The sequence below is a fragment of the Homo sapiens genome, chromosome 16, assembly GCF_000001405.40.
Source record: "Homo sapiens chromosome 16, GRCh38.p14 Primary Assembly".
Lineage (NCBI taxonomy): Eukaryota > Metazoa > Chordata > Mammalia > Primates > Hominidae > Homo > Homo sapiens.
The window spans coordinates 78,474,143-78,502,001 of record NC_000016.10 but is presented as its reverse complement, the minus strand read 5'-3'; the positions used below and the strand labels follow the sequence as shown (position 1 = coordinate 78,502,001).

Below are 27,859 nucleotides of genomic sequence, written 5' to 3'. Positions count from 1 at the left end.
TAAGACTCAGGTCCATGCCCCCAGAAACCTTCTACGTTAACTCTGAGAGGAACCGAAATCTGACGATGGGCAGGTGGGACCACAGTGGTTTTCACCTTTCATTGCCACCCCAACCCCACCGCAACATCCTTCCCCACCATGGAGCCTGATTTCATTAGCCCAGGGCATCGCTAGTTTCACGTAACTTCTCAGATTCCAGCAGTTTGGGAGGCTGAGGTGGGTGGATCACTTCAGGTCAGGAGTTCGAGACCAGCCTGGCCAACATGGTGAAACTCTGTCTCTAATAAAAGTACAAAAATTACCCAAGCATGGTGGCGGATGCCTGTAATCCTAGTTACTCGGAAGGCTGAGGCAGGAGAATGGCGTGAAGCCAGGAGACAGAGGTTGCAGTGAGCCAAGATCCCACCACTGCACTCCAGCCTGGGTGACAGAGGAAGACTCCATCTCAAAAAAAAAAAAGAAAGAAAAAGAACTTCTCAGGTGGTTCTAACGTACAGCCCAAAGTGAGCAGTACAGTTTGAAAGAGAGCCAGCAAAAAGGTTGGAACTTTAAAGAAAAGCTGGGTGAGCTATTTTGCAGGCTGTCTCAATTTCTTACACATTCACAGATACCTAGACACTGCTGCAGCCGGCTAGAGGAGGTCATCTTAAGCTCTTGAAAATCTGAAGATTTTCATAAAGAATGCCAAAACATTTACACAAACAAAGATATCTGAACCAAGGGGTCTGCTTTTATTTATTTTTTTTTTATTTTGTGTTTTTACAACATGCAGGTGCTGCTCCAAAAAAGTTTTTCAAAAAAAAAAAAAGAGAAAGAAAGAGAGAGAAAGAAAAACATGTATTGCAGTGAGGGTATTTATGTTCAAAGTTCAGAAATTTGTGGGCATTAACTGAGACCTGGAATCCCTGCCATTCAGCTGACCCTCTGCCCTGCCCAACATTCTTCACTGTTAAATGCCTAAGAATAATAGCCTCCTCCACCTGCACCCCAGCAAAGTGAAACATATTTCCCTGGCTGGGTTTTAAGTCAAGCTAAACACCAGCAGACCTAAGCGTGGTACCTGCATCACTTGGCCGTCCAGAGAAAGAGACACACTGGCTTTGAATTCTTTTGGAACTTCTTTGAGCCAGAAAATATCGACTCCTAGCAGGCCCAGCACAGGCGCTGTTGTACATGCTCTCTGGGTCTGTACTGATCAATGACAATTTTGGTAAACACTGCCTGAATAATTCATCATAGAAAAAAGCTTTCGAATTAAATGATATTACTGGGGCTTCCAGCACAAACACACACGTGTTCCCGAAAAGCTAGTCCAGCTGGAAGACTGCTTGGAATAACCACGATGATACCCAAGCTAAGCCCCCCATTTTATAAATTGTAATGAGTCATCTACCTACCCTACCCTCAGTCATAGGAAAATGCTGTTGGAGCCTCAGCCAGGTGTTCCAGCAGCATGCACCTGGCACATCTTGCTATGGCTTCTCATGGTAAAATGCTACCATGGTTAACCCAACGCGGCAGCATGCAGCGATCTAAAAAAAAACAAACAAAAGCGGAACAAAGATAGATGAAGGGAAAAAGGAAGGAAGGAAGGAAAGAAGAAAAGGAGGAAGGAAGAAAGAAATGCAAAAATGTTGGCTGTATTTTGTGCAGAGTAAAACTGAATGGCAGCGGGAATAATTCAATTTAATCTTGGCAAGCGGAATGGAGACTTAGGAACCACAGCAAATGCCAAGCAATTCATACCTTCTGTTTTATTTTAAAGCCCCACCTTTCCCCACTGCACAAAGTCACACACACAATTAGTACTGCATTGACCGTAGGACTGGCAAAATTCTACACCAAAAAGCTATCCTTGGCTCAAAATGAGCTCATGCATTAGAATGGCACACCAAAAACCTCAATGTGTGCTTTGAACCATGCTAGTCTGCTTTGCTGTTGTGTTGTTTTGTATTTTCCCACAGGCAGAAACCAGGTTTTGACCCACTTCTTCTCCATCCCTCTACTGCTTTCTTTAAAGATTCAAAATGAGTCTCAGTGAGGCCTCAGAACGGTAAGGACCATTTGGTACTACTTAATCCTATTTAGGCAAGGCCAGGAATGTCTATTTATAGCACATTAAAGACGGAATGTAAGGGAGGGGTCCATGGCATGAAATTCAAGGTCTCAGCATCCAGAGACAATGGGACTTCCAGTGCCTTGGCCTCGATTTCTTACAAATGCGTTCCACGGATGTATTTGACAGAGGCTGGTGTCAAGTCCTGGGCTGGATACTGGAGCTACAGATTAAAAAAAATAAGACATGGTTCTTATCCTTAAGGAGTCAAAGCCTAATAGGGAAGAGAGTCGCAGGCACAAACAACTACCAGATGGTACAACTAGTGCTCTACACTAAGAGCCGGCAAAGGGGCCCTGGGCCAGGAGGCAGGAAGCCCGTCCACCGCCCGGCATTGTGGACTCAAGGAGACAGCTGATGAGTAATCTGCAGTCGCTGCTAGTTGCCAAAGAACGGAAAATCTCCATGAGTCCCACCTGACCACTTAGAAAGGTTAGCTATGGTAAAAAGTGAACAGGTGGGATACAAGCCAAAAGACAAATAAGACTATGAGACTATCACAAAGGGGCTGGTGGACAGCCAGGGGGTCTCCCGTGGGCCAAACCCATCCAGAAAGACTACAGAGCATGTGTGCCACCCCACCACCAGAAGCAAGGCCACACACATAAGAACATCGTAGCTTGCTGCCTTTCCACCACCTCCGCCCCCTCACCCCCCCAAAGCAAAGCCATCTCACTGAGCTAGGGCCAGCGTGGACACCTTCAAGTGTTAGATACGCACTATCACCGTGCATCACGAGGAAAGAGAAGGGCCCACATGGTTTTCATACTTAGGAAAATTCAGCTTTAATCAAACTCAGTTAATTATTGACTCAACAAGGATGAAACTACAATAAAACCATTTTTGCCAGAGGCCAAACTATTAAGAAACCTCGTGTACTTCATAGACAAAAAGCCTTCAGAAGTATTCCTTGAGCCTTCATAATATTCCATCTTAACAATCATTATTGTGCTTATCTCTCAATGCCAATAAAGGAGAGACAATCGAGGAAGTTGCCTATGTATTTAAGGAAAAAAAACAGACCAGTAACAGTGGCTCCTGCCTGTATTCCTAGCATTTTGGGAGGCCAAGGCAGGAAGACTACTTGAAACCAGGAGTTCGAGATTATAGTGAACTATGATCATGCCATCATGCCACTGCACTCCAGCCTGGGCAACAGAGCAAGATCTGTCTCTGTTTAAAAACAGAAAGAGAGAATGGGGAATCGGCCTAAGTAAATGCCGCTGCTCTCCTTTACAGAATTAGTGAAACAACAATGTCCCTTCTGAATTTTTCTTGCCATGAACATCTCCCAATCCTTGTGTGTTGCTCATTACCCTTTAGGCCAAAGGTGTGCAGCACTTTCTCGGTCTCTGTCACCTTCAACTCCTCATCAATAGCCTCACACCTTGTGCTTCTCAGTGGGTAGAGTTTTATCATAAGATTTGTGAGCAGGCCATGTGTGGTTTAGAAAAGGGGCTCTTCCTGAAAACCTTGCCCCTAGGTGGGGAAGGGGTGGGAAGAGATGTGCCTGGTCTATCAACTGTGAAATCACTGGCCTGAGCCCCATGAATTACAGCCTGCAATTTACAGAGCAATAAAATAAACCACAAAATACGCTTTAAGAAGTCTAACAGCATTATTTTTCTCCTCCTGCTTCATGGTGACAACCCTGATGCTTTTTTTTCTTTTTTTTTTTTTTGAGATGGAGTCTTGCTCTGTTGCCCAGGCTGGAGTGCAGTGGCACAATCTCGGCTCACTGCAAGCTCCACCTCCCATGTTCATGCCATTCTCCTGCCTCAGCCTCCCAAGTAGCTGGGACTACAGGCGCCCGCCACCACGCACAGCTAATTTCTTTTTGTATTTTTAGTAGAGACAGCATTTCACCATGTTAGCCAGGATGGTCTCGATCTCCCGATCTTGTGATCCGCCCACCTCGGCCTCCCAAAGTGCTGTCATTACAGGCGTGAGCTACTGCTCCCAGCCCCCTGATGCTTTGTTAAAAATACCAAATTCCCTTTAAAATGTGGGCTTTTTTAATTTTTTTATAATTCTCAGTAACTCCGGTGTATAATCTACCATTTATTGATTTATTTATGATAAAACAACCTCTCATTGTGAAAAACAGCTAAGGGTGACATCTCCAGACCCAACCACTGTCCCTGTAATGTCCTGCTGAGAGTCCACATTTTGGAAATCCAATCATGAAGAGTGATTAGACCTAATCAAACAAGTATTTATTCAACACACAATAATGCTAGATGTTGGAAGGGCCATTTTTACATCAGATTCTTTTCTTGCATTTACGCTGTGTGTACATTTTGAATATTAACCCCTTATCACATGTGTGGTTTGCAAATATTCTCTTTCTGTAGGATGCTGCTTCACTCTGTTCATTGCTTCCTTTCTGTAAAGAAATTTTTTAGATTGTTGTAATCCCAGTTGTCTATTTTTGCTTTTGCTACCTGTTTTTCGGTTCATATACAAAAACACTCATTGTGCAGACCAGTGTCATGGAGCTTTCCTCCTTGTTTTCTTCTACTAATTTTACACTGTCAGATCTTATGTTTAAGTCTCCAATCCACTTTGAGTTGATTTTTCTATATGGTGTGAGGTAAGAAAAGAACAAATTCTGAATAAAATTGGAGGAAAAGCTAGAATCAGAGCAAAAAAATGAGTATGTGCTGTGGAATCATTTGGTCAACTTCCTCATGTGCATATGCTATTGAGTCTTTCCAAACACCACCACTCTCAAGCATGAGCAGACATACACCTAACAGAAGGTCATCTGTTGTTTTATGCCAAAGCAAAAGGCATACAATAGACGGCTTGGGCCTTAGCATCCAACATCCCCAAATCTCCCTGCAGAATAATTTCTGACTTTGCCTTCCTCCAAAGTTTCCCATTACTAACATCTTTGCCATAGTTAACTCCCTTGATTTGAGCATTTCATTCTCCTTCTGGATGGCTTGAGAGGGCGGGAAAGGAGAGAATCAATGAGCAAGGCCATCTGGCTTCAACAGTCATTCATTCCTCTCCTTCCATGCACATGGCACAGCAAAAGGGGTTTCCGGAAAGTTGGAGTGACTTCTCCATGTCTTGGGGCCTCTTCCTCAATGCACTTCCCATTTCCCTGGGCACAGCAAATGCAAACACACAGTAAGAAAGCTAATAATTTGTTTGGTTTTACATAGTGAGTTGTCAGTGATGTTGTCTAAAGGGACACCTGAAACCACGAGTAAACCAGAAACTTGGGGTGCATAGAATGCATCCCTCCCTTCAAGATCTTATGCACTAAAGAAAGCAGTGTAATGGGACAAATCCATTTCCCAAAACATGTCCATGGAGATTCAATGGTCATAGAATGGTACACACACCTTTGATGTTATCATAGTGGTCAAGTTAATTGAAAACAGCCACGCAATGCCAACCCCGTGCTAACACGTTTGATTCCTCCCTTAAATTCCATTTACAGGTCATCACAGATAGGAAATTCTCCAATAAGGTCAACACGACAAGGACATCTGCAGTGATCTTTCTACATGCTCTGCCAACTTGGCACTCATCTATAACTTTAGAAGAGGAGGCAGAACATCAGTGATGACTGCAAACATATGCTTGATTTTTTTAAGCAACGGGAAAATGAAAAATGAACGGGAGGAGGGAACACTGCTGCCTTCTGAGGACAGAAGTCGTGTTTCAAGTAGTCAGGAGTGATGGGGAGGTGGGACGAGAATGAAGATTTAGGGGAATCTGAACAAAACAAGGTGGTGTATGGGGAATGAGGGCAGTCAGTAAAGCCAAATAGTACCAGGTGGAAAAATAGCCTAAAAGAAGTACAAGTCTAATCATCCAAAAATTCTAAAGCAAAACTAAAACTCCATAGTTCAGCAAAAGACACCCTTTCAGGTGTTTAGAAGACTGTGGTTATCCGTTTAAAGATGTTCCTCTCTCAAGGAATCTCTGAGAACTATAAATGTGTTTATTAATTTTTATTCTTTACCTAACTAGTAACCGAAAATTATAAACGTAATCCACACTCACTGAAAAAAATAAACCAAGCACAGATTGGTTCAAAGTAAAACATGACCATCTTCCTGGCCGGGCACAGTGGCCCACACCTATAATCCCAGCACTTTGGGAGGTGGAGGCAGGGAATCATTTGAGGTCAGGAGTTCGAGACCACCCTGGCCAACATGGTGAAACCCCGGCTCTACTAAAAATACAAAAATTAGCCAGGTGCCGTGGCGTTGGCCTGTAGTCCCAGCTACTCGGGAGGTTGAGGCAAGAGAGTCACTTGAACCCAGGAGGTGGAGGTTGCAGTGAGCTGAGATCACACCACTGCACTCCAGCCTAGGTGACAAAGTGAGACTCCATCTCCAAAAAAAAAAAAAAAGACCATTTTCTATGACTTCCTAGCCAAATCTACACCTTGAGAAAAAAAACCCTATCAAAAGTCTACTACTGGCCAGGTGCAGTGGCTCACGCCTGTAATCCCAGCACTTTGGGAGGCCAAGGCGGGCAGATCACCTGAGGTCAAGAGTTCGAGACCAGCCTGGCTAACATGGTGAAACCCCGTCTATACTAAAAATACAAAAATTAGCTGGGTGTGGTGGCGGGCGCCTGTAATCCCAGCTACTCAGAAGGCTGAGGCAGGAGAATCGCTTGAATCTAGGAGGCAAAAGTTGCAGTGAGCCGAGATCATGCCACCGCACTGCAACCTGGGCGACAGGCAAGAGTCTATCTCAAAAAAAAAAAAAAGAACACAACAGTCTACTACTAATCTTTCTATATCTTTTCTTATAAGCACACAGATGCAGCTTAAATAATTATTTTTAATTTTAAAAATATAAATCAATGAAACATCCTCACTTTGCAGTACGTCATGTCCGAGGGGCTTGACCCCCTGGGTTTCGCCACAGCATAAGAAACCTCCACTCATCTGATGGCGGTGAGCTGGGTTGCAACAAAGTACCGAAAGAGGAAATAACAAGCCTCTCTAAGGACAGGCCTAAAACCCTCCGAATGGGCTGTCACTGTGCGATGAACATCAGCCTCTTACTCAATTGACAGGCCTTCCTCCGGCTATAGGATCTTGACTGTAATTACAGGAAAAGCCATACCATAAAGATGGGGGGAGGAGCTAATTGACAAAACGCTCAATGTGCTGACTCAAGGACCGATGACCAAGCCTTAAATTTATTTTCCTCAAAAAATGACTGATATGTTGTCCATTAAGCCAGAACCATGCAAAATCCAGGAGATGCAGTCTTTCCAAGGTACCTGTGTGGGGTTCACACAGAAGACTCCTGGACTTTAAATGAAAAAGATCTTTGGAATGTTGCCTGCCAAAAACAGAATTTCAAAAAGCACAGAAGTTTTATTTGTTGCCGTTTTTATTTCCTTTTGTTTGCTTAATGCTTGTGTTTGTATCAATCTTATTTATTAAACCATCCAAAATGCAAAAGGAAAGACATCACTTTGAGATTTGAACCTCCTCTAAGCCTCTGGTTGCCAACTTTTTTACCTTCCAGTGTGGTTTGGCTCTGTGTCCCCACCCACGTCTCAGGTTGAATTGTAATCCCTGTGTTGGAGAAGGGACCTCACAAAGGTGTGTGCTGCATAGGGGGCTAATCTGTTCTCTGCAGGAACTAGACGGGATCATGAGGTGCTTTCTAATCACCATCCCCCTAGTGCTGTCTTGTGAAAGAGTTCTCCTGAGATCTGTTTGTTTAAAAGCATCTAGCACCTCCCTACTTTCTCTCTTCCTCCACTGCCAGCCATGTGAAGACATTACCTGCTTCCCCTTCACCTTCTGCCATAACTGTAAGTTTCCTGAGGCCTCCCGAGAGGCAGAAGCCTATACAGTCTGCAGAACCACGAGCCAACTAAACCTCCCTTCTTTATAAATTTCCCAGTCTCAGGAATGTCTTTATAGCAGTGTGAGAATCGACTAATACACTTTCCAATTATTATAAACTTCTGGAATCATTGCTCTACCTAGTAGGGAAGTATTACCATTCATCTATCCAAATGGAAAGAAAATTGACGATGATCAGACATCATGCAGTGGGTAAGAACACGGACTCTACAGGCTCACACAACAATTCCACCTCTATGCTCTTGGCCTAGTTCCATCTCTTCTGTATGCCTCAGTTTTCTCATCTCTACAATGGGGGTAAGACTGTTGCGAGGGTTCCATTTACGTAACGTATTCAGAAGGAGTGCTGTGGATTATACGCTTCTATACATATAAGTGCATAGCAAGTACTAGATACATATTAGCTCATTATTTTCATTTTTGCGGTGTCATTAATCAGAACTTGTAAAAAGAATAATTCTCCTTAAACACCCCAAAGATATTTTATAAAGAACTCAGTTGATACTAGAATGACCAAATGCAATTGCTCTTCTGTGCTGTTAAAGAAAATCATAAATAAACACGTTAGTTACTCACACAGGTGGACCTAGCTTGATGTGACTGATATGTTCCCAAAGCTTTGTGTGCATAAATCAAGCCACGCCTAAATGAACTGGGTAAGCCTGTCGATCTTGCAGTGAATCCTTTCTTTCCAGGGAAGCTTCTGGACCCAAATAATGCTAGCCACCTGTCTTAAATAAAGATTCTTAACATAGGACATTTGTGTATGTGTCTTCTGCTTATGGTTAAAGAGTGAGTGTCAGGTCCAGGAAGACAATGGAAGCAGGAAACATGTATTATTCCATTAAGTAACTGACATGAAGTTTTTCGAGCCTTCTCCCAGGAAGAAGTCCAGGCTCCAACAGCAGTAAATCACCAAACCTAAAATTCCCCGAGTTGTGTGCTGTACAGGGGGCTAGTCTGTTCTCTGCAGGAAGATCCATGCTGTTTTCATCAAAACGTCACTTTACCGGGATGGTAAAGAGTATCTCCCATGCTGACTAGAGATGATTAGTAATGACTACTTGGAGTAGTATGCTAAGCATGACTGATTGATTAGTGATGTCTGTCGTGAATAAAGGACTTTGGGAGTGCATGCATGCACACTGGGTACTTGCCGTCTCCAGGCTCAAGGGACACAAGTATTCGGCCTAGCAGGCATGAGGCCCCCAGAAATTTGTCAAAAGGCTACAAATGGTGGAAAACAAACACACCTTGATGTGATTATGCATATTCTCTCAGAACCAATTACTCCCTGAATCATAACTTTGAAAGTCATTGAGAATTATCCAGAGCACATAAGCACCAAAACAGAATTTCTCAAAGCCAATATACGAAGAAAGTTTCATCATAAATTCAGTCTTCTTTGAAAAGGAGGAGAAACAGTGATTCCATGAATATCTCCTAGTGGCAGGTCCTGGGCTTAGTCCCCAGGGTCAGGGACTGTCTCCTGCTCGCTGTTATGGTCCTAGATGTAGATGAATGAGTGTTCTGTACGTTACATGCAAACAGTCCAATGTGGATTGGATGCTGAATATGTTTGACTCCAGCACACTGGGAGGTCAGTTTTATCCACAGATGAGAAGGGAGGCTTAATTGCTAGAGTCACAAATGTGGTCCCTCCAGTGGACGATGTCATGGGTCAACTTACCCACTTTGCTAGCAGATAGAAAAGAAGAAAAAAATTATACAGTTTGCACATACACACCCGCCTTCGGAATGAGTGTCTCGTCCAACCTCTACTGCCTTGTGGCTCAGGTTTCCCGCTTCATCCTCCATAAACTGTGCACACACTGTCACCTAATGGAACTATCTGCTTCCCTGTGTGTGGAAACGCCACTCATCTTCCAGGTTGCTCATTTACTTGTCATGTGAAACCAGTTGGCTGGGAATCTGAGAATGCTAAGTTTCGAAAACCCAGAGACTAACCCCAAAGCACACCCCCACACCCCCACTCCCTTTGTCCATTGAGAATGGCAAGTGTCACCTTCCATGCTTAAAATGCACCTGGACCAGGGAGAAAGTCAGGTGAAGATGTCCATCAACAAGCAGCACCCTGGGCTGCAGAATCTTGATAAGGGTAATGAAAAGAGGAGTAGAAGGCAAGGGAACGGCAATGTGTAAAGGGGAGTCTTGGGCCACTGGAGGCATCTGTGCCCCCCTCCTCTGCAAATGATAGTTATTTAAAATGACTTTATATGCTATTTTCTCCTGGGGTTTCAAATTCAGCTCCCATCTCCCAGCTTACAAATAAACTCCAGTTTTCAGTCAGTGATTCCCATTTTGATGGGATTCTGTAATCACTCCCACAGGTACACAATGCACCCTCTTATATACTGCATTGAAAACAAGACACGGTAGCCAGGTGTGGTAGCGCACAACTGTAGTCCCAGCTACTCAGGAGGCTGAGGTAGGAGGATCACTTGAACCTGGGAGGCGGAGGCTGCAGTGCACAGAGACTCTGCCACTGCACTCCAGCCTGGGTGACAGCAAAACCCTGTCTCAAAAAAAAGAACAAAGAAAACAACACATCGAGTACCACTGGAGCTTAAATACCCATCAGTGTGGGGAAAGGGAGAGAATTAAATTCAAGAACTGTTCACTGAGCACCTATTAGGTTGTCAGGCCAAGGTTAAACAGGGAATAAAACTTGGTCCTTTCCCCAAGGGGCGTCTCATCCAGGGGAAAAGATGACCTTGTAACCAGACAGTCACGATACAAAAGCACTCATGGTGTAGCAGCTGACTGAGAGGGAAGGTGATTAATGGCCCAGGTGAGTAAAGGTCTGGGAAGGCTTTGTGGAAGATATGAGGCCAAGAGCTGGATTTTGAAGGATGGAGAGCCTTTTGCCAATAGACAAGAAAGCACGAGCATGGCAGGCAGCCTCGGGGAGAGGGCACAGCTGGCACAGATGACTCAGCCTGGTGAGCTCAGTTCACTTTGGCTGAAGCATGAAGTTGGCCAAGAGGGAGAGGTGGAAGGAAAGAAGGCTGGAGCGGTCACTCGGGGGCAGCTCAGGGGCTGGTGAGCCAAGCCGAGTTGCCCGTGATGCCTCTTCCATATGAGCTCACTGCCAGTTTCATTTTATGAGCTCCTGCTAATGAGTCCTGTTTTGCAGTAGAGCAAATGGTGATGGGTGAGCTTCTCGGAGCCATTTCCTAGTCTAAGTAACGGACTGCTCTGCCTGGGGAAGAGAAGCCACGTTTGCTGGGTAAGGGGTGCTTGGTAAGGTGTAGCTGAAGACCACTGTGTAGAAAACAGGAGTCAATGCAGTTTGCTGCAGGACGGAGAACTGAGGGCCAAATGGTTCAACATTCACGTGGGTGCTTTCCAAGTCAAAGAGGACATCTGAGCAATCAGAGGATCGTTTGTTTCATTTGGTCTCTGGGCCACATCAAAATGCCCTGTCTTCTTTCTCCTCCGTCCCACAACAAGCCAGAAGTCTGAAACTAGCCCAGCATTGAAAACAACGCATGTTCGTGACCTCCTTGTGAAAACCGTAAATAGATTTGCGGGAACTACAACAATGATCACAAGAGAATTTCACCAATTACGAGCACCAAAGGAGTCCAAATCAATGAAGACAAAGGTAACTGCATAAACACATGTGCACATACATGAATAACACATGAGGTCCCTTTAAAATAGACTGATTGTACCTGAAAGTTACTAAACGCTGAGTTATTTGTGTGTTAAACAATACTGTGCACTTCCAAAAGGCTTCCGTTGGTGCTTGGTTGATGATCATGGGACCATATATTATCACCCAGCTATTCACCTTGTACGTCCTTGATAAGGAAAGGTCAACCCCAAGTAAAAGCCAACGCCACCACAACCAAAAAAAAAAAAAAAATTTTTTCCCCAATCTGAACAAATCGTTTAGTGTTAAAAATAAACAGAACTAGAAATTGTCTCTAATAAACTAATATTAGTCTCCCCAGAGGGTTAATTATGTCGCTCCGTATTTTAAGAAGAATGTAAATTGCCAGTTTCAACAGATGTTCTTTTAAAAGAATTGGTTATCTGGGAAATGATGGGTCTTTGTTAGAGCTTACCCCAGTGGAATATAAACATTAAAATCATCCGGCTATCTGTCAGACCCCTCCTCCTCCCACAACTGTTACCCATACCAGTGATACACCCTTTGCTTATCAGCAGCTTTAGTGACAAGTGTTCCAGCCGGAACTGTGGTCCCAGATTTCAGATGACATGTTAGGAGGGTTTCCAAACTCCCCTTGAGCCATCCCAGTGAACCCAGAACGGCATCTTGCCATCATGCCAGGGCCCAGCTCAGGCGCCCCACAGCCATTTCCATCCTCTTCTTTTACCCTGGAGAGCAAGACTATCAGGTCACAAAGAAATAGAGTTAGAAGGTTCTGGAAATAGAAGCCCTGTCCAAATTCAGTTTAAATGCTCAAACATGTAACATTTGTGTTACGTACATATTTGAAAGCTGCTAAGGGGAGAATGAAAACTGAAGTCTCACTGGGAAAGTGGTTAGAAAAAAAAAAGAGCTCACGAATGTCCCTGCTGTTTTCTCTCAAAAGACATTTTGTAGACACTGAAATGTATGTTAGCAGGTTCACAGTGAGAGCTTCCACACTCGGATATTTGGCCAAGTAAAGAGAGGAAAAAAATCCTCAATGTGGCAGTTCATTATTCCAAGCAGAGCGACCTCAGCTGACCTGGGGGTCTGGAGAGAACATCTGTTCTTATGTTACAGCTGGTGGTGGGTGTCTGGCTGCCAACCTCACTTGACCTAACTCTTCATTATCATCCTGGTTAGACTCACTTCACAGATAGGGAAACTGAGGCTGAGGGAGATTAATGACTCCTATAAAAAACTTAACAGAACCTGCTTTCACTATTGATCTGCTAGTAACAAGCATAAAATCTCATCTCAGCTAGAAAGGTAAGCAGATAACTATTGATCTCCTGAAGTGTTTCTGAAAGGGCTGGCCCAGAGCAGGATTTAGACACTCTGCAGAGACTGCGAAGTTCTGTGTTCTACATGCAGGAGGCAACAAGGCAGCCTAGTGCCATTATCAGAAAGCACATCCCAAATGGCAGAAAGAACAAAATAATAGTGACAACAGATGTGGCCCACTGAAAGCCTACTCTGAGAAACAGGCATTGGGCATGTTATTTGACTCAATCGTCCCACTGATCTGCCATAATGATATCATTAGACCTATTCAACAGGTAAGGAAACTAAGACTCAGAAAGGTGAAGTCAGATGCCCCAGCGTCACACAGTTCCTAATGGCCCATAAAGAAAATTCCAGGTCTGCTTGACTCAGAGCCTACCTCCCCTCCCCTACAGCCACTGTCTCAGATGACGCCTAATGAGCTCAGAGCACTGACATTGTATATCACAAGCAGCTCCACGGTCTCTCGGGTCAGCTACCTGAGGACCCAGGCTCCAGGTAGGGCCAAAAAGCAGTCAGTCTGCTCATGTGCAGATGCCACAATGGTAAATCCAGTTGAAAAATCAGAAAGTCTTATCCTTAAAGAGGGAATCTCAGGAAGAGCCAATCTCAGCACTCTTGGGTCCTAAAAAAGGGCTCAGGTGTACCACTGTGCAGGTTTTACACAATTCAATTACAGGAGGTGCCCTTTACCTAGACTAGAAAATGAACTCAGCCACCTAGACATAAGCTACACTGAGCCTATTTCACTGCTGAGACAGGACTTGGAAGACTCACAGAATAATCCTGAAATTCACATCTGGACTAACTGCTAAGACTATGCCAACTTCCAGCGTACCAGGATAAAGAGCTTCCTCTAAACAAAGACCCATCTTCCATGTTCCCTCCATCCCCAGCCAAAGGTAGCAGGAACCTTTCAAGTCCTCCAAAATCTACATTACCAAGTTTCCTGTGAGATCCCTCCCTGCTCCACAGCTCAGAAAATAGGCTGGAACCACAACAAGTAACAGCCTGAGAGAGAAGAGGTCCCAGTTCCACTTATTTTAGAAGCCCCATTTCTGAGGACTCCTGTACCTCTTTCGAAGCTTGGGGAAGGTGGGATAATGATCCTAGGGTAGAAATACTGCTTTTCTTTCTGCAGTCCAGCTTGCCTAGGCGGACATTAATTTGGTGACATAAGGTTGCCTTATGCCCTATCCTAGTGTTGGGGGATTGGTGGTTCCTGGAAGCCAGAGAAAAGGAGGGCTAAAAACAATGATGCAGTAAGCAGCTAAGAATGTAGCTCTGGAACACTAGTTTCCAACCAGGGGCCATTTTACTCCCCAGAAGGCCAGACATTTGCCAACATCTGGAGACATGTTTTTATTATCCCTACTGGGAGAGATGGTATCTAATGGCTAGAGGTCAGGGATGTTACTAAACATCTCCAAGATACAGGACAGATGCCCAGTACAAATGACCCACCTTCCAATATTAACAGCACGAAGCCTCAACACCCTGAACCAGAGGAAGCATCTGCAGTAAGTCCCAAATACATAACAGGGGAGCCATGCCTCTCGCAAACCCTCAGTGTAAAATGGTCCCGCTGTTGTAACACCATGCAAAGACGGAACATTAGTAAGAGACTCCCTTCAAACTTGTGGACTCATCCTTAATAGATCTCATTAGTTTGTATTAGTAGATGGGATACGGAATTGGGGAAATAATGCCCAGGGGCTCAACTCTGCTGATGCATCTACTTTTTCTGGGAGGAAAATAACCAAATCTCTGCTTTAGTCATTCAGGGAAACCTAGCACCTGTCTACAGCAACATGTTCAAGATGGGGAGAAAAAAAAAGAAAAGGGAAAAAAAACTGAGAAAAAAGATAAATTATTTATCCAGCATAAATATTAAAGAAAATTGCAAAACATAGTCTGATGTCACCATGCTGTTGTTATAGAATCATCTCGTTATAGCTTCTGGCAAAATACTGTTGTCCTTAATATCACTACAACAGAATCATCTGGCATGTACCAAGCAGGGTACATGTGTCTGCTCGCTGTCGAGGACACTTAGCAGGATGCGAAGCAGCTCATCACACCCCAGCGGAAAATTGTGCAGGGATGCCCTGTTAGGAATGAGCCTGCATTAGGAATAGATCATCAACTTCACCCGAACCCAAGGTGCAATTTAAACCTGACAGACAATGGTCGGGGGCGGTGGCTCATGCCTGTAATCCCAGCACTTTGGGAGGCCGAGGCGAGTGGATCACGAAGTCAGGAGTTCAAGACCAGCCTGGCCAAGACAGTAAACCCTTATCTCAACTGAAAATACAAAAATCAGCTGGGCATGGTGGCATGCACCTGTAATCCCAGCTACGCGGGAGGCTAAGGCAGAGAATTCCTTAAACCCAGGAGGCAGAGGCTGCAGTGAGCGGAGATCACACCACTACACTCCAGCCTGGGCGACAGAGTGAGACTGTTTCAAAACAAAACAAAACAAAACAAAACAAAACAAAACTGGAAGTCAATTAAACACACCCAGTAGTGTACAACAACCAGGTCCGACTGGCTTAAGAGAGCACACTGCTAAACTATCAGGAACTTTAAGACCTAGTTGTTGGGCACACTCATTATTAAGTATTAAAGTAGATAAATGTATGATTCAATAAGCTATATTAAAAAGGTAAAACATACTCAAAGCTCAATACTTCTGAATAATCTTAGTAGATGTGACTATTATCTATGCTCATGAGGTTATTTATGTCTATTAGTCGGCATAGTGCAAATACTTTACATACATAAAATGGTATGGGACTACACATCTCTTTCTAACTCCAAGTTCCAAGCTGCAACTTGAAATCAGCCAAGGTGTGAGTATTTACACCACAGTAATCAGCAAATACTACAAAACAGGGTTTGTTTCCCCTAGTTCCCGCCAACAGAGCAGGTTGTTCAACACTTACCGGCATACCACCACACACCCCCTCACATAGACACCAGGAATATGGTAACAGCATTCACAAGGAAATTTTGTTTTCAGATAAAACATCTACGATTCAAAGTTAGCAAACTCTTTTCAGCAACTACATGGACTCCTAGGTAACAGAGTCATTTAATAAATCTGTACAATAATAATTAAACACCATAAATAACGTATCCATGGAAGCTTCCTGGCTTGCCCTTTAGGCCTTTGTCGCCAAGTGATCCATGCTGACATTCTGAATAAGGCTCGCAAAATAAGTGCATCCAGGAGTGGCGGTGGAAAGTAGGTTTGCTCTCAATAATGTATGAAGCCCCATGCTGGGGAGAGGGATCCTTGGAAAAGCGGCTCCGCGGCAATCTGTTCTTTCATCTGGAGCCAGCGTTCAAGCAAAGGTGCTGCCCCAAATCAGAAGCACAATTGCTCACTTGTGAGCAGATGTCCTTCACGCGGCGGGCAGTGCTCTTTCAACACAGAGCTGAACAAATGCGTGCTGTGAGACAGGCTCCCCTCCCCATTACCCAAAGAACACAGTATACATTAATTTAGTATGTTGTGGAATAACGTTTGAAAGGGGAGTTGGTGCAGTAGAAAAATCACGCAGTGAGGCAAAATAACTTTCCAACCAAACGGGAGGAAGAAAGAGAGTTTGGTTCCTATGGAAGTTGAGGGGGAAAGAGTCTGAAATATCTTCAACCTCAAAAGAAACCCAAAACAGGGTTCCTTAGGGAGTCAAAAGGACCTCACTGGGCAGGCCCAACACAGAGCCAAAATCGAACATCAACCACCCAAAAGATCATTTTCAATGAACATGTAGTTTCATTGAAAATGTGCATAGCTGGAGGAGGCTGTGCATGTGTGAGGACAGGGAGTATATGAAACTCTACACTTCCCACTCAGTTTTGCTGTGAACTTAAAATTACTGTAAAAATAAACTTTATTAATTTTTTTTTTTAAAGTACATGTAAACCTAAACCCTGTAGTCAGATGAACTGTTTCCTTTCCGGCTGGGAATCCCAGTTGGAAGGACTTCCAACATTCATCCTAGGGAGTTTCATGGGGCATCTTTGGTTCTAAGGGAACCTCATCTATAAGGTGTTAGTCAGCTCATCAGAAGGCAGGGCAGAGCAGAGCGTGCCTTGCCAGGTACACAGGCTGTGTAGTACACAAACAGCCCGGAAAACCAGTGGAAAGACCTCCTCCCAGCCTTGATGTAACTGGGACAGAAATGGAGACAAATGCAATGGCACTTCACATTCGCTTCCCCCCACCCCACCCATCTTCCAGAACCTCGACTTCAGGACAGCTTCCGCAAACTCAATCACTTCTTTCAGGCTGACACAATTTGGTCCACTTCCTGTATTTCATTTTGGGAGAGAGAATTATTTTATCTAGGAAAAGTAAAATTAGCAACCTGCTTAGAGACTCCTGCCTTTAAAGCCCCACATCCACTCAACTTCTACACACAAATACTACCGTTTGCCACCTTGATAATTATTAAATTGTAACGTAAAACCCAACTTCTGCTTAAGTATACGTGATTATTAGACTATAAGTCAATTGTGGATAACACGCAGATATAAATGCAGCTAATAAGTCTTACTGTAATGATTAATCAATTTATGAATACATTATTTAAACTAATAGCTCAGGTAGGGTATCTTAAACAAGTTACAGAGTATATCGACCAATTCAAATACCAGCTGCTGGATCAATAGCAAACTGTAAGTAAACTCTGGGGAATAGGTATACTTGGAAAAAAAAATCTGTGAACAAAAGGGTCTTAGATGAAAATAATCTACAATTTCAATTTTTAAGACAAATGTATAGTACTTTAATATATGCCAAGGCCTAAAGAGAAAGGTACAAAAGTATTACTGCAAATTTTGCTTCTATTCCAGCCTATGCAGTAATAATCATTAAGAGCAGCTCCTACAAATTCATATGTTTATACAAAGCACTACATACATATGCAAAAAGACAATGTATTCAAGTTAATTTTGATTCCTTCAAAATTGATAAAGTGGGTTCATTTCATTGCAAGGGAGCATACTTATCTATAACTGACCCTTTAACAGAAAACAAAAATTATGTCTAAAAAGTAAGGTAAGCCATTTTCCTGAAAGGGGCCCATCTTTCAACAGACACACTAGGGGCCACGTGTTCTGTCACAGCCACAAAACCTGCCCCCTAAGCCCCACTGTTGACCACAAGATGTTTTTGTGAGCAAAGTCAATGCTTGCATCATGATGCTGGCTCTTCTCATTTTTTTTAAATTAAGGCTAATTAATGTGAGTTAAATAAATAAACAAGAAGAGCCTTGATTTCCAAAGGTGTGATATTTTATCACAGCTTCAAGCGATGCTGCATTTGAAAAAAAGAATTAGTATCTTGTGAGATTGGCCACACATTATTGAGTAAGTAACAGCAGCTAAGTGAAACAGATGAAATATTGGTAAGCGATGCAGCCCACAGTATAAGTATGTGAAGGGGGTCAAAGGTTAATCCCTATTGATTTTCCGAGTCTGCGTACAGCACCACTGGGAAAGGCCGGTTCTGTTGGCAATCAGCTAGCACAAATACATTATAAATCTTACTGTCTGCCTTCACCGATCAGTGTCACTTACTTCCTTTGCTAAAGACCATTAAGAAACTACCAAAAAAAAAAAAAAAAATTCTACGCAGATGCCGGCAAAAAGAAAAGTATTAAAAAAAAAAAAAATCTTCCATGTCAGCCAATGCTTCTGCAGACGGGAGACTTTTCATGAAAGCGGAGGCACACCTCACTGAGACCCGTCTCTTCCAAGTAAAGTGACATGCAACTTTCTTGAGAGTAAATCCATTTCAAAGAATAAAGACAGAGTATTTTTCAAATGACCTTCAACATCAAATCAAAAAGGTAAAAGTATCTTTTACATTTGGGTGCATTTTTAAAAAATAGAAGAAAAGCAGTCTAACACACTCATGCATATCGAGAGCCATCTCCAACTTGACTTTGCAAAATATGGCATAACCTTGAAGCCAACAAAAGGTAGGTTGAAGAGGCCCTTCATGTCTAGGGACCCCTTCCAGTATTCCACACTAAATGTTTGACTCCTTTTCTTAAAGTGGGCCCACAACATGCATAGATCTCAGTGCCCCAAAATCTTGACGCCCACTTCTACGAACAGATATGAATGACTGTTTCTTTTTCATGCCTTTTAACAGATTGTACCATGTGTATTTTATGTGCCTGGCCCTCTTGCTAGACACAGGAAGGCAGATGAGTGAGATAGATCCTTCCCAAGAAAAATGAAACATACGTTCTGCGTCTTATCGTTGACTCTCGTACAACAAGGTCCTGAGAAACAGTCTTAGCGCCAATAAGTGCTCTGCCACTTACCAGCTTTTTAACACCCAGTTGATTACTTCAACTCTCTAAGCCTCAGTTTCTCTGCCTGGGAAATCAGGATAATTATAGTAGCCACTTCATAGAATGGTCAGGAAATTAGAAATCACATGCAAAGCACTTAGCACAGGGCCCAGTAAGTATTCAATAAATACTGGTTAATTTTTCTTAAATAATGGAGTTATTTGGCTAGGCAAGGCAGCTCACGCCTGTCATCCCAGCACTTTCGGAGGCCAAGGCAGTCAGATCACCTGAAGTGAGGAGTTCGAGGCCAGCATGGCTAACATGGTGAAACCTGGTGTCTAACTAAAAATACAAAAATTAGCCAGCTATGGTGGTGCATGCCTGTAGTCCTGACTACTACGGAGGCCGAGGAAGGAGAATCGACAGAGGTTGCAGTGAGCCAAGATCGCGCCACTGCACTCTAGCCTGGCCAAAAGAGCAAGACTCTGTCTCAAAAAATAATAAAAAAAATTATGGAGTTATTTGACATTGGGATAAAAAGCAAGTGACCTCCTTCAACCTCTGCTTCACTAATGAGGGCTGTGGAACTGTGATGTAAAAAGACATGAAGCCATCTGACCCACCATTCCACCTAAATAAATGTATAATATCCACCTATTCCCCAGAATAGGTGGGACCATAACAAGCACATTCTAAGTTATTCTTTAGAAACAGATTTCTTAAGTCCTTGAAATGTGTATGAAAGCAAAACCTATCAGAAATGCAGACAGCTAGGCAGCTCAGCCTTAACCAAGGATGTGAGAAAGTTACGAAATCTTTGGGTAAGGAAAGGTTCTCTCTCTGCAGAAAAGTTATTTATTTTATTTTAAAGCTCCAGCCCCAAGAAGATTAATAGAAAAGGTTCATAGATATGTGTTATGTCTTCACAGTTTTCACAAACACAGCTCTTATCACATCCACAGTACACATGCAGGCGCGCGCACACACACACACACACACACACACACACACACACACACACTTCCCTTGCCCTGAGCAAAAGTCATAGCATTCTTGAAACAGTTCTGGCAAATACAGCCAAATTGTTGGGAAAACATTCTTTTTTTTTTTCACAATTCCATCAACTAGGCTCAGTGTACCACGTGCTGATATCAGGATGTACTTGAAAATATTTTAAATCCCTTTAAATTAAGGGGTGGTGGGAGGTGAGGGATGACTCTCCCAGGGCTAATGATAAACAAACGAACATCCTGCAAAGTTCCCATCAAAACTTCAGCATCTATGCCATGACTCTTTCAATCAATGACTTTTTTCCCCATTTATGAAACCTTTTATTTCAGGATTTTCACCTCTATTGAAAGGATATCCTTCTAGTAGGCAGAGGATAAACAGAGTAGACCTCAGCTGAGCACTGAAAACCAAGAGAGACAGAGGCCACAGAGTCTTTTTAAAATCCAAGAGGCTCCAAGCTGCTTTGAACTGTCTTGAGTTGATGGAAGTACGCTTTCATCAGTTAGAAAAATTAAGGGCATACGCCTCAAAAGATGTCTACTTATTTACAAATTATAAACTTGGATCATTCTATTAGCTACTACCTCCAGGAATGGTATAGGTTAAAGCAATGTTCATCTTTAAAAATAATGCATGCAATTTCAAATTTCTCTTTGCTAATTTAGATTTTTGTTTTTCCATTGACCACTTCTGATCAAACTGTGATTGTGTTTACTTTGCACAAGATGAAGGGCTTTTATTAGGAGTAGGTGAAGTACCAATCCTGCTCTTTTCTTACTATTTGCTATTCTAAGAACTATATCCAAACACTGATCTTTTTGCACAAATGTTTGTAAGTCTCTTGTTCATTCTGTGACGGTTGCTTTAGTTCAGACCACATAATCTGATGTCTCAATCCATCCAACTAAGCACACATGCAAAACTACAATACATTTCAAAGCTAAAGTCCACAAGGAGCAAAGGTTCCAACATGGACCCTCTCCCTGGGGAAATGGCCAGCCTGACTTTGGAATGTACTGCATACTGCACACAATTCCTGACCATCAGAGGACTGGAGAGGGTACCTGTGTCAGTGCATCTGTGTACTATCTGTAAAAAATAACATTTTTAAATTGAGAGCCAATATGCTTACATTGAAAAGTACGGGACCCTGAAAGTGGCTACTGAGCTGGAATCCCTACTCTGCCACCTCTTTTCTTAGCACATCTCTTTCCTCATCTGTGAAATATGGACAACAATAGTCCTATTTCAAAGAATATTTGAAAGGACAGTACATGTAAATATATGCAAAACACTTAAAACAGTACCTGCCACCCAATAAATGTGTTGAGATGTTTAATAATAAATGAAAGAGTTTAATGGATAAACAGAAGTTATAATGTTTCCTCTCGGAACCCAAGTGGTTCATCCTTCACACTTTGGGGACTAATGCTTTAAAGCAGATGTATCCAAAAGAGCATTCTACTATGGTAGAAATGTTCTATATCGGTGCTACCCAATATGGTAGCCAATAACCACATCTGGCTACTGAAGATTTGAAATGTGGCTGCTATTTCAGAGCAATTGAACTTTTAATTTTAATTAATTTACATTTTAATAGTCACACGTGGCTACCATATTGGACAGTGAAGCTCCAGAAGCTTCACTATTTCTGACACTCCATAGGACCCAGCACAATTCTGTAATCCACCTAGTTGCCTTCGAGAAGGTATGACTGCTTCAGTGAGAACAAGCTAGCCTGAGTTTCTGGAGTGTAAAGCCATGGAATCCTCACCTTTACACTCCCTTTCTCTTGTCTCTTAGATGCTCCATTGTCATTGGTTCCTCCTTCCCAGGAGGGGGCAGTGAACAATGCAGCCCCGCTGGGTCAACATTATTGGAGGCCTCTACTTGGTGCCAGCCTCAGCCTGGCTTTCATTCATAGTTTGGGTCTTGAATCTTATCTTGGAAAACTCCATGAATCCTGCCTTTGACCACTGTCTAGACTCCCAGGCCAGAGGCTGTCACTATATTTCGTGTCCTGGCCCTTGTTCCCAATTTGTAGAGGGCTGTCCATATTCTACAGATGAACCTCCATGTCAATCATTCCTATAACAGTTTCCTCCTTGGAGGCAACGAGAGCAGTGACAGTCTATTCTAGGGAATGGGACATGTCTTATCTCCATTTTCACTATGAAAATATCTTATTCTATACCATCATGCCACAAAGTGACTTCATTCAAAAACCATAATCTTCACAGTACTACCATATTTGCATCTAAAGTTACTTGGTAAATCATAAAGTCCAAATAAACTATAGTTATAAATAAAAAGCTTTAAAACATTACAATGAAAGCATTCTCTAAACCCAACCTCCTCTCAGGCTGAGTTAGGTCTTTGCTTCTATCAAAATTATTTGCATATGTTTTAATCTTTCTCTCTAGATAATAAGATCCTGGAAGGCTTGACTGATACAAATTCATATCCATATCCTTACTGTCTGAAGTGGTGCCAGACACATAGTAGGTATTCAATACGTATTGGATGAAGTTACACAGTGATGGAGAATATGTTAATCCAAACAGAAAGAAAACAAAACACCTTTCTCTGCTTTCCAAGATGTATGTTTATTTTTTTTTCCTTTTCCAAATACTCCTACATTCAGGAAAACAGTAATGCTAAATCTGACTTACTTATATTTTAGGAAGCCTGGATATCTAAATTGGTGATTCCTACAGTCATGGCAATATGCCTTGTTGATCATAATACAGATTATCAACTTCTACAGAATGACAAAATCAAAGGAGAAAAGGGGCCATGATGGAAATATCAAAACCAAATTAAATACTGGAAATGAGTTAATGAAATTATACTACAGATTCAGCTTATTCAGAAAGGGCTTGTCCAAGGAAAGGGGAGAGAAAAAATAAATAAATAAAAAATAAATTTAAAAAACCCTCACCACCAGAACCAGCTGTCTAGTTTGAACTGCTAGATTGCTGAGCACATACTGTATGCATATTCATAAGGACCACAGGAAATTAAGCACCTTTGGAGCCTGCATTAAAACTCTTTCCTGCCAGCCAGTGCAGTGAACCAGTAACTCAACGGCACCCTTGTGGCCTGGAATAATTAATGCAGCTTCCAAAGGTGGGAAGGCTTTCCTTGGGGTGGGGGGTGCAACAGCAAGGTGGGCATGGAGCTTCGAGAGAGGAGAGTAGGCTGCCAAGCCATTTGTTCTTAGTGTGTTACACCTGGCCCTGTTTTGTGGAAGGGAGGGAAATACGTCATTATCATCGCTTTTTCTTTCCGGAGTCTGAAAAGGAACCCCGGGGTGGTAAATATGGCCATTCATGCTAACATTGGCTTAAGGAAGAACCAGATCAAATGAGCTCAGTTATTTACATTTAAAAACATCATTTAAGGGAATTTTAAACCGTCTGAGAAGATGGATACACTGTGTTTGTTTTCTACATTAATGAGCTATAAAAAGAATGGAATAGGCCATAAATACAGTATTTTGTAACAGCCTTTACTAAAAATGCTACTACTTGTATTTATCATTTATATCCTTGTATACAACCTCAAAATTGATTACACTTTAAACCGTACATACCTTGCTGTGTTTTTCATTCTGTGCTATACTACAAACATTTTTATAACTCAGTTAATATATTCCATATTTTGTGTTCTTATTGATTACGAATATTTCTTTAGGGGATTTTATTGCTTTTAAAATAACAAATGTTAGGTATTAAAAAATAGAAAAACCTATTGCAGCTTTTATATTTTTCTTTCCCCTGGTAATTCTAATACACACATTTTAGCACGAACATAACCAGAATATCTTTTTCCATATCTTTTATACTTCCTCCCACTAATATTATAAATCCACTAATACAGTACATAGTAAAAGAATCAGATTTTTTGGATGAAACCCACCATTTAATGTGTTTGACTTGAATTCATAATTCTCTCCTTCTACAATTAAAAAATTAAAGTGCTAAAAGATTATCCGCACGTAACATGGTTTTACATCAAGTATATATTATCTTTCCTAATTGCCATTTCAGTTTATAGGCTAAAATATGATTTATATATATGATATGATTTCACTATTAATTATCAAATTGAAAAAAAATAAAATCTCACATTAGAAATTCTCCCCTGGAAATTAGTTTTATTATTTTTTCCATAATCCTATCACACAAGCTATAAGTGCATTGCGGCATGAACACTTTAATTTTTCCAGTTAGTTTTAAGCAAGCCCAGAGGTGAGGTTTAATAAGGATCAATGGCACTTTATCTGGGACAGGGCCTCTTCACAGCATGCAAATTACACAGTAACACTTAAAAAAAGAAATAGATTTAATTAAAAAAAAAGTAGAACCACAGGCTCTGGAAATTCAATTAAAGGATTTATGCAAAGGTTTGCTAGGTTTTTATATGCGGTTACTGCTTACATAATGAGCTTTTCATATTAAAAATCAATAGGTAATCTAGACTAGAAGATCATCCCCTTAAATACATTTTTGAAATCAATTTGAAAAATAGTCCATCAACTGCTGTGACTACTCTTGCTGCTTCGATTACACTAAAAGCAATATTTAGATTGTAAGACGTGCTATGGAATATCTATGCTTAGATATTGCTTTCAAGGGCTCTTATGCTTTTGAGTGCCTAAGATGATCACCTGGTAATTCAAGATTGTGTTAAATGTATAAATAATTTATTTAATTACCAACAAAAGCGCAGACACAATCCCATCGTATTTATAATGTTAAATAAAAGGGTGAAAAAGAGGAAAGAGGGAACTGAAGGAGGAAGGACGGAAAGGAGAAGGGGGAGAGGGGAGAGAAGAGGGAGGAAGAAGATGGGAAATCAGGAAGGGAGGGAAGGAAAAAGAAAAACGAACAAAACAACCTTTTCTAAATTAGTCTTTCCTATCTCAATTGCCTATTGTGTTGGCTACTTAGCCCTTAGAGATATGCATTTCACTTTAAAACTCATTTAGGTCTTCAACTGAAGAAGCAATTAGCTAGCTTATAATTTAAGCAGACTTTTCATCCTCTGTGATCATGGGGGACGGGTCTTGAAATGAAAACGAAAGTCGATGCTCCAGTTCTTTTTTTTTTTAATATGTATTTTTTATTATATTTTCAGTTCTAGGGTACATGTGCACAACGTGCAGGTTTGTTACATATGTAGACATGTGCTGTGTTGGTGTGCTGCACCCATTAACTCGTCATTTACATTAGGTATATCTCCTAATGCTATCCCTCTCCCCTCCCCGCACCCCACAACAGGCCCCGGTGTGTGATGTTCCCCTTCCTGTGTCCAACTGTTCTCATTGTTCAATTCCCACCTATGAGTGAGAACATGCGGTGTTTGGTTTTTTGTCCTTGCAACAGTTTGCTGAGAATGATGGTTTCCAGCTTCATCCACCCAAGTGGGCGAAGGATATGATCAGACACTTCTCAAAAGAAGACATTTATGCAGCCAACAGACACATGAAACAATGCTCATCATCACTGGCCATCAGAGAAATGCAAATCAAAACCACAATGAGATACCATCTCACACCAGTTAGATGCTCCAGTTCTATCCAGTAGCTTCACCACCTGTATCACAGGCAAGATTTGCCTGGATTTGGTAACAATTAGAACACCAGATGGGATTCCAGGGGCAATTCCTGTCAAACTGGGGAGTGATCATTTTACAGAGGAAGCATGAGTAAGGAGTTGGGGTGGCGGAGCTGGAGGAAAGAAAAACCTAGGTAGGTCCAAATCCAAACTCTTCTCATTACCATAATAAATTAATAAGAGACACATTCTTTAATACCTCTTTGTCCAGGTTCTAATTTTTAAAAGGTAGAGTTTTAAAATGTAATCGCAGCATTTTGGGAGGTTGAGGTGGGCAGATCATTTGAATTCAGGAGTTCAAGACCAGCCTGGCTAACATGGTGAAACGCGTCTCTACTAAAAATGCATAAAATTAGCCGGTGTGGTGGCACATGCCTGTAATCCCAGCTACTGGGGAGGCTGAGACATCAGAATCACTTGAACCCAGAAGGTGTAGGTTGCAGTGAGCCGAGATCATGTCACTGCACTCCAGCCTGGGTAACAGACGCTGTCTTAAATGAAATGAACTAAAATAAAAATATAAACTAAAAAAGTAGAGTGAGTACTCATTGTCCATCAAGATGAAAGTCATGGCTCTAGTTATCTTCAACCCAAGTCAGCCTTATTAAAATAGGTCTAAACTTTATAAAGGACCACCTTATAACAAACCAACACCTTATTCTCTTCTGCAAAACTCTGGGAAAAAAACTAAGCAAAATATTTACAAATCCCAGTTTATCCATCTACCAAAAGCTCCTATCTCAGCAACACTAATATTTTAAGAAGGTGCTGATGCAGCCAATCTGGGTGAACAAGGAGAGCCCAAAACAGCACAAGGAGGTCCCTGCTCTCAATACACAGGGAGGAGAAGATAAAGATGAAGAAGCAGCAGCAGCTTCCAGCATCAGAGAAATCAATGATGTCCACATTATGATTTCTAAAGCAGAACTCTAGACATATCCTATTAATGAGCCAGCCTTTGTTTTGCATGTCCCTACAGCTATATTGAGGGAGAGTTTAAGAACCAAGTAATGAGCAGTGGTTTTATCAGTCACAGATTTATGCACCTGACAAACACATTTAGAATGCCTGGCTATGTTAGCACTGTTAGTGGCTCTTGGTGGCTACAAAGATGAATCTCATAAACCTGGCGTGCCTAAATAAATTAAATATTTTTGTACATATGTTTACTCATTTTGAAAAATGTATTTGTAAGAAAAAACAAGGAACTGAAAAATTAGGTGCAGTATCTTGAAAACATGATGCATGCAAAGTGAAAGGACCACTCACAAAGAACCACATATCGTGTGAGCCCATTAATGAGAAATGTCCAGAATATACAAACGCATGGAGATGAAGAGCAGACTAGCGGTTCGCAGAGGCTGGGGAAGAGTTGAAGTGGAGAATGGGAGGTAAAAAATATGGGGTGCAGGCTTTCTCCTTCAGGTAAGAAAACTGACTGTGGCAATGGTTGCACAACTCTGAATAGACTGAGCCATTGAATTGTACACTTTAAATGCATGAATTGTATAGCATGTAAATTATCTCTCAATAAAGCTGTTATAAAAAATAAAGTGCAGTTTACGGACTGTCGTTTGAGTAACAGCAGCTTTAAAGAAAAGCAAACAAGAAAATCTAAAAGGGAACCACGATGAGGGGGTGGAAATCCTTATTTTCTACCTAAACCAATCTGACAAATGAGACATTTAAGCTTTCTTCATCACTACAAAATATCTTCTGTGATGATCGGTTTAGAGAGTGCATCGGGGTAAGATGTGCAAACATAAGCTATTGGCGTCCTACAGAAAGGTGCTGAAATCAAAATAAGCAGGGGATTCCTAAGGCATGAAATGAGAACTTTAGCATAAAATGTCCCAGGTTAGTATGATCAAAATGTCAAACATAAAACTGTTTTCTAACAATGTGAGAGGTGTTAGTAATGAAAATTTGAACAATGTTAACACTTAAAATTTCAGCAGAACCATTTCAATC

At 41.8% G+C, this 27,859-nt stretch overlaps 1 protein-coding gene and 1 long non-coding RNA gene across 3 annotated transcripts in view, besides 1 other annotated feature; one reads left to right on the top strand and one right to left on the bottom strand.

Moving 5' to 3' along the window:
* WWOX (WW domain containing oxidoreductase) overlaps window positions 1-27,859 on the bottom strand; it is a 1,113,014-nt gene that overhangs the window by 710,666 nt on the left and 374,489 nt on the right. The gene's annotated exons all lie outside the window — the stretch shown is intronic.
* Window positions 1,966-27,441, top strand: WWOX-AS2 (WWOX antisense RNA 2). Its single transcript, XR_007065129.1, has 2 exons — window positions 1,966-2,053; window positions 5,571-27,441. It is a non-coding gene; the product is annotated as a WWOX antisense RNA 2 (long non-coding RNA).
* Window positions 23,955-25,291: an enhancer, noted in NCBI's record as "VISTA enhancer hs12". NCBI's record gives its function as "enhancer in: hindbrain (rhombencephalon)[9/11] | forebrain[9/11]" and the evidence as "EXISTENCE:transgenic organism evidence [ECO:0001131][PMID:17130149]".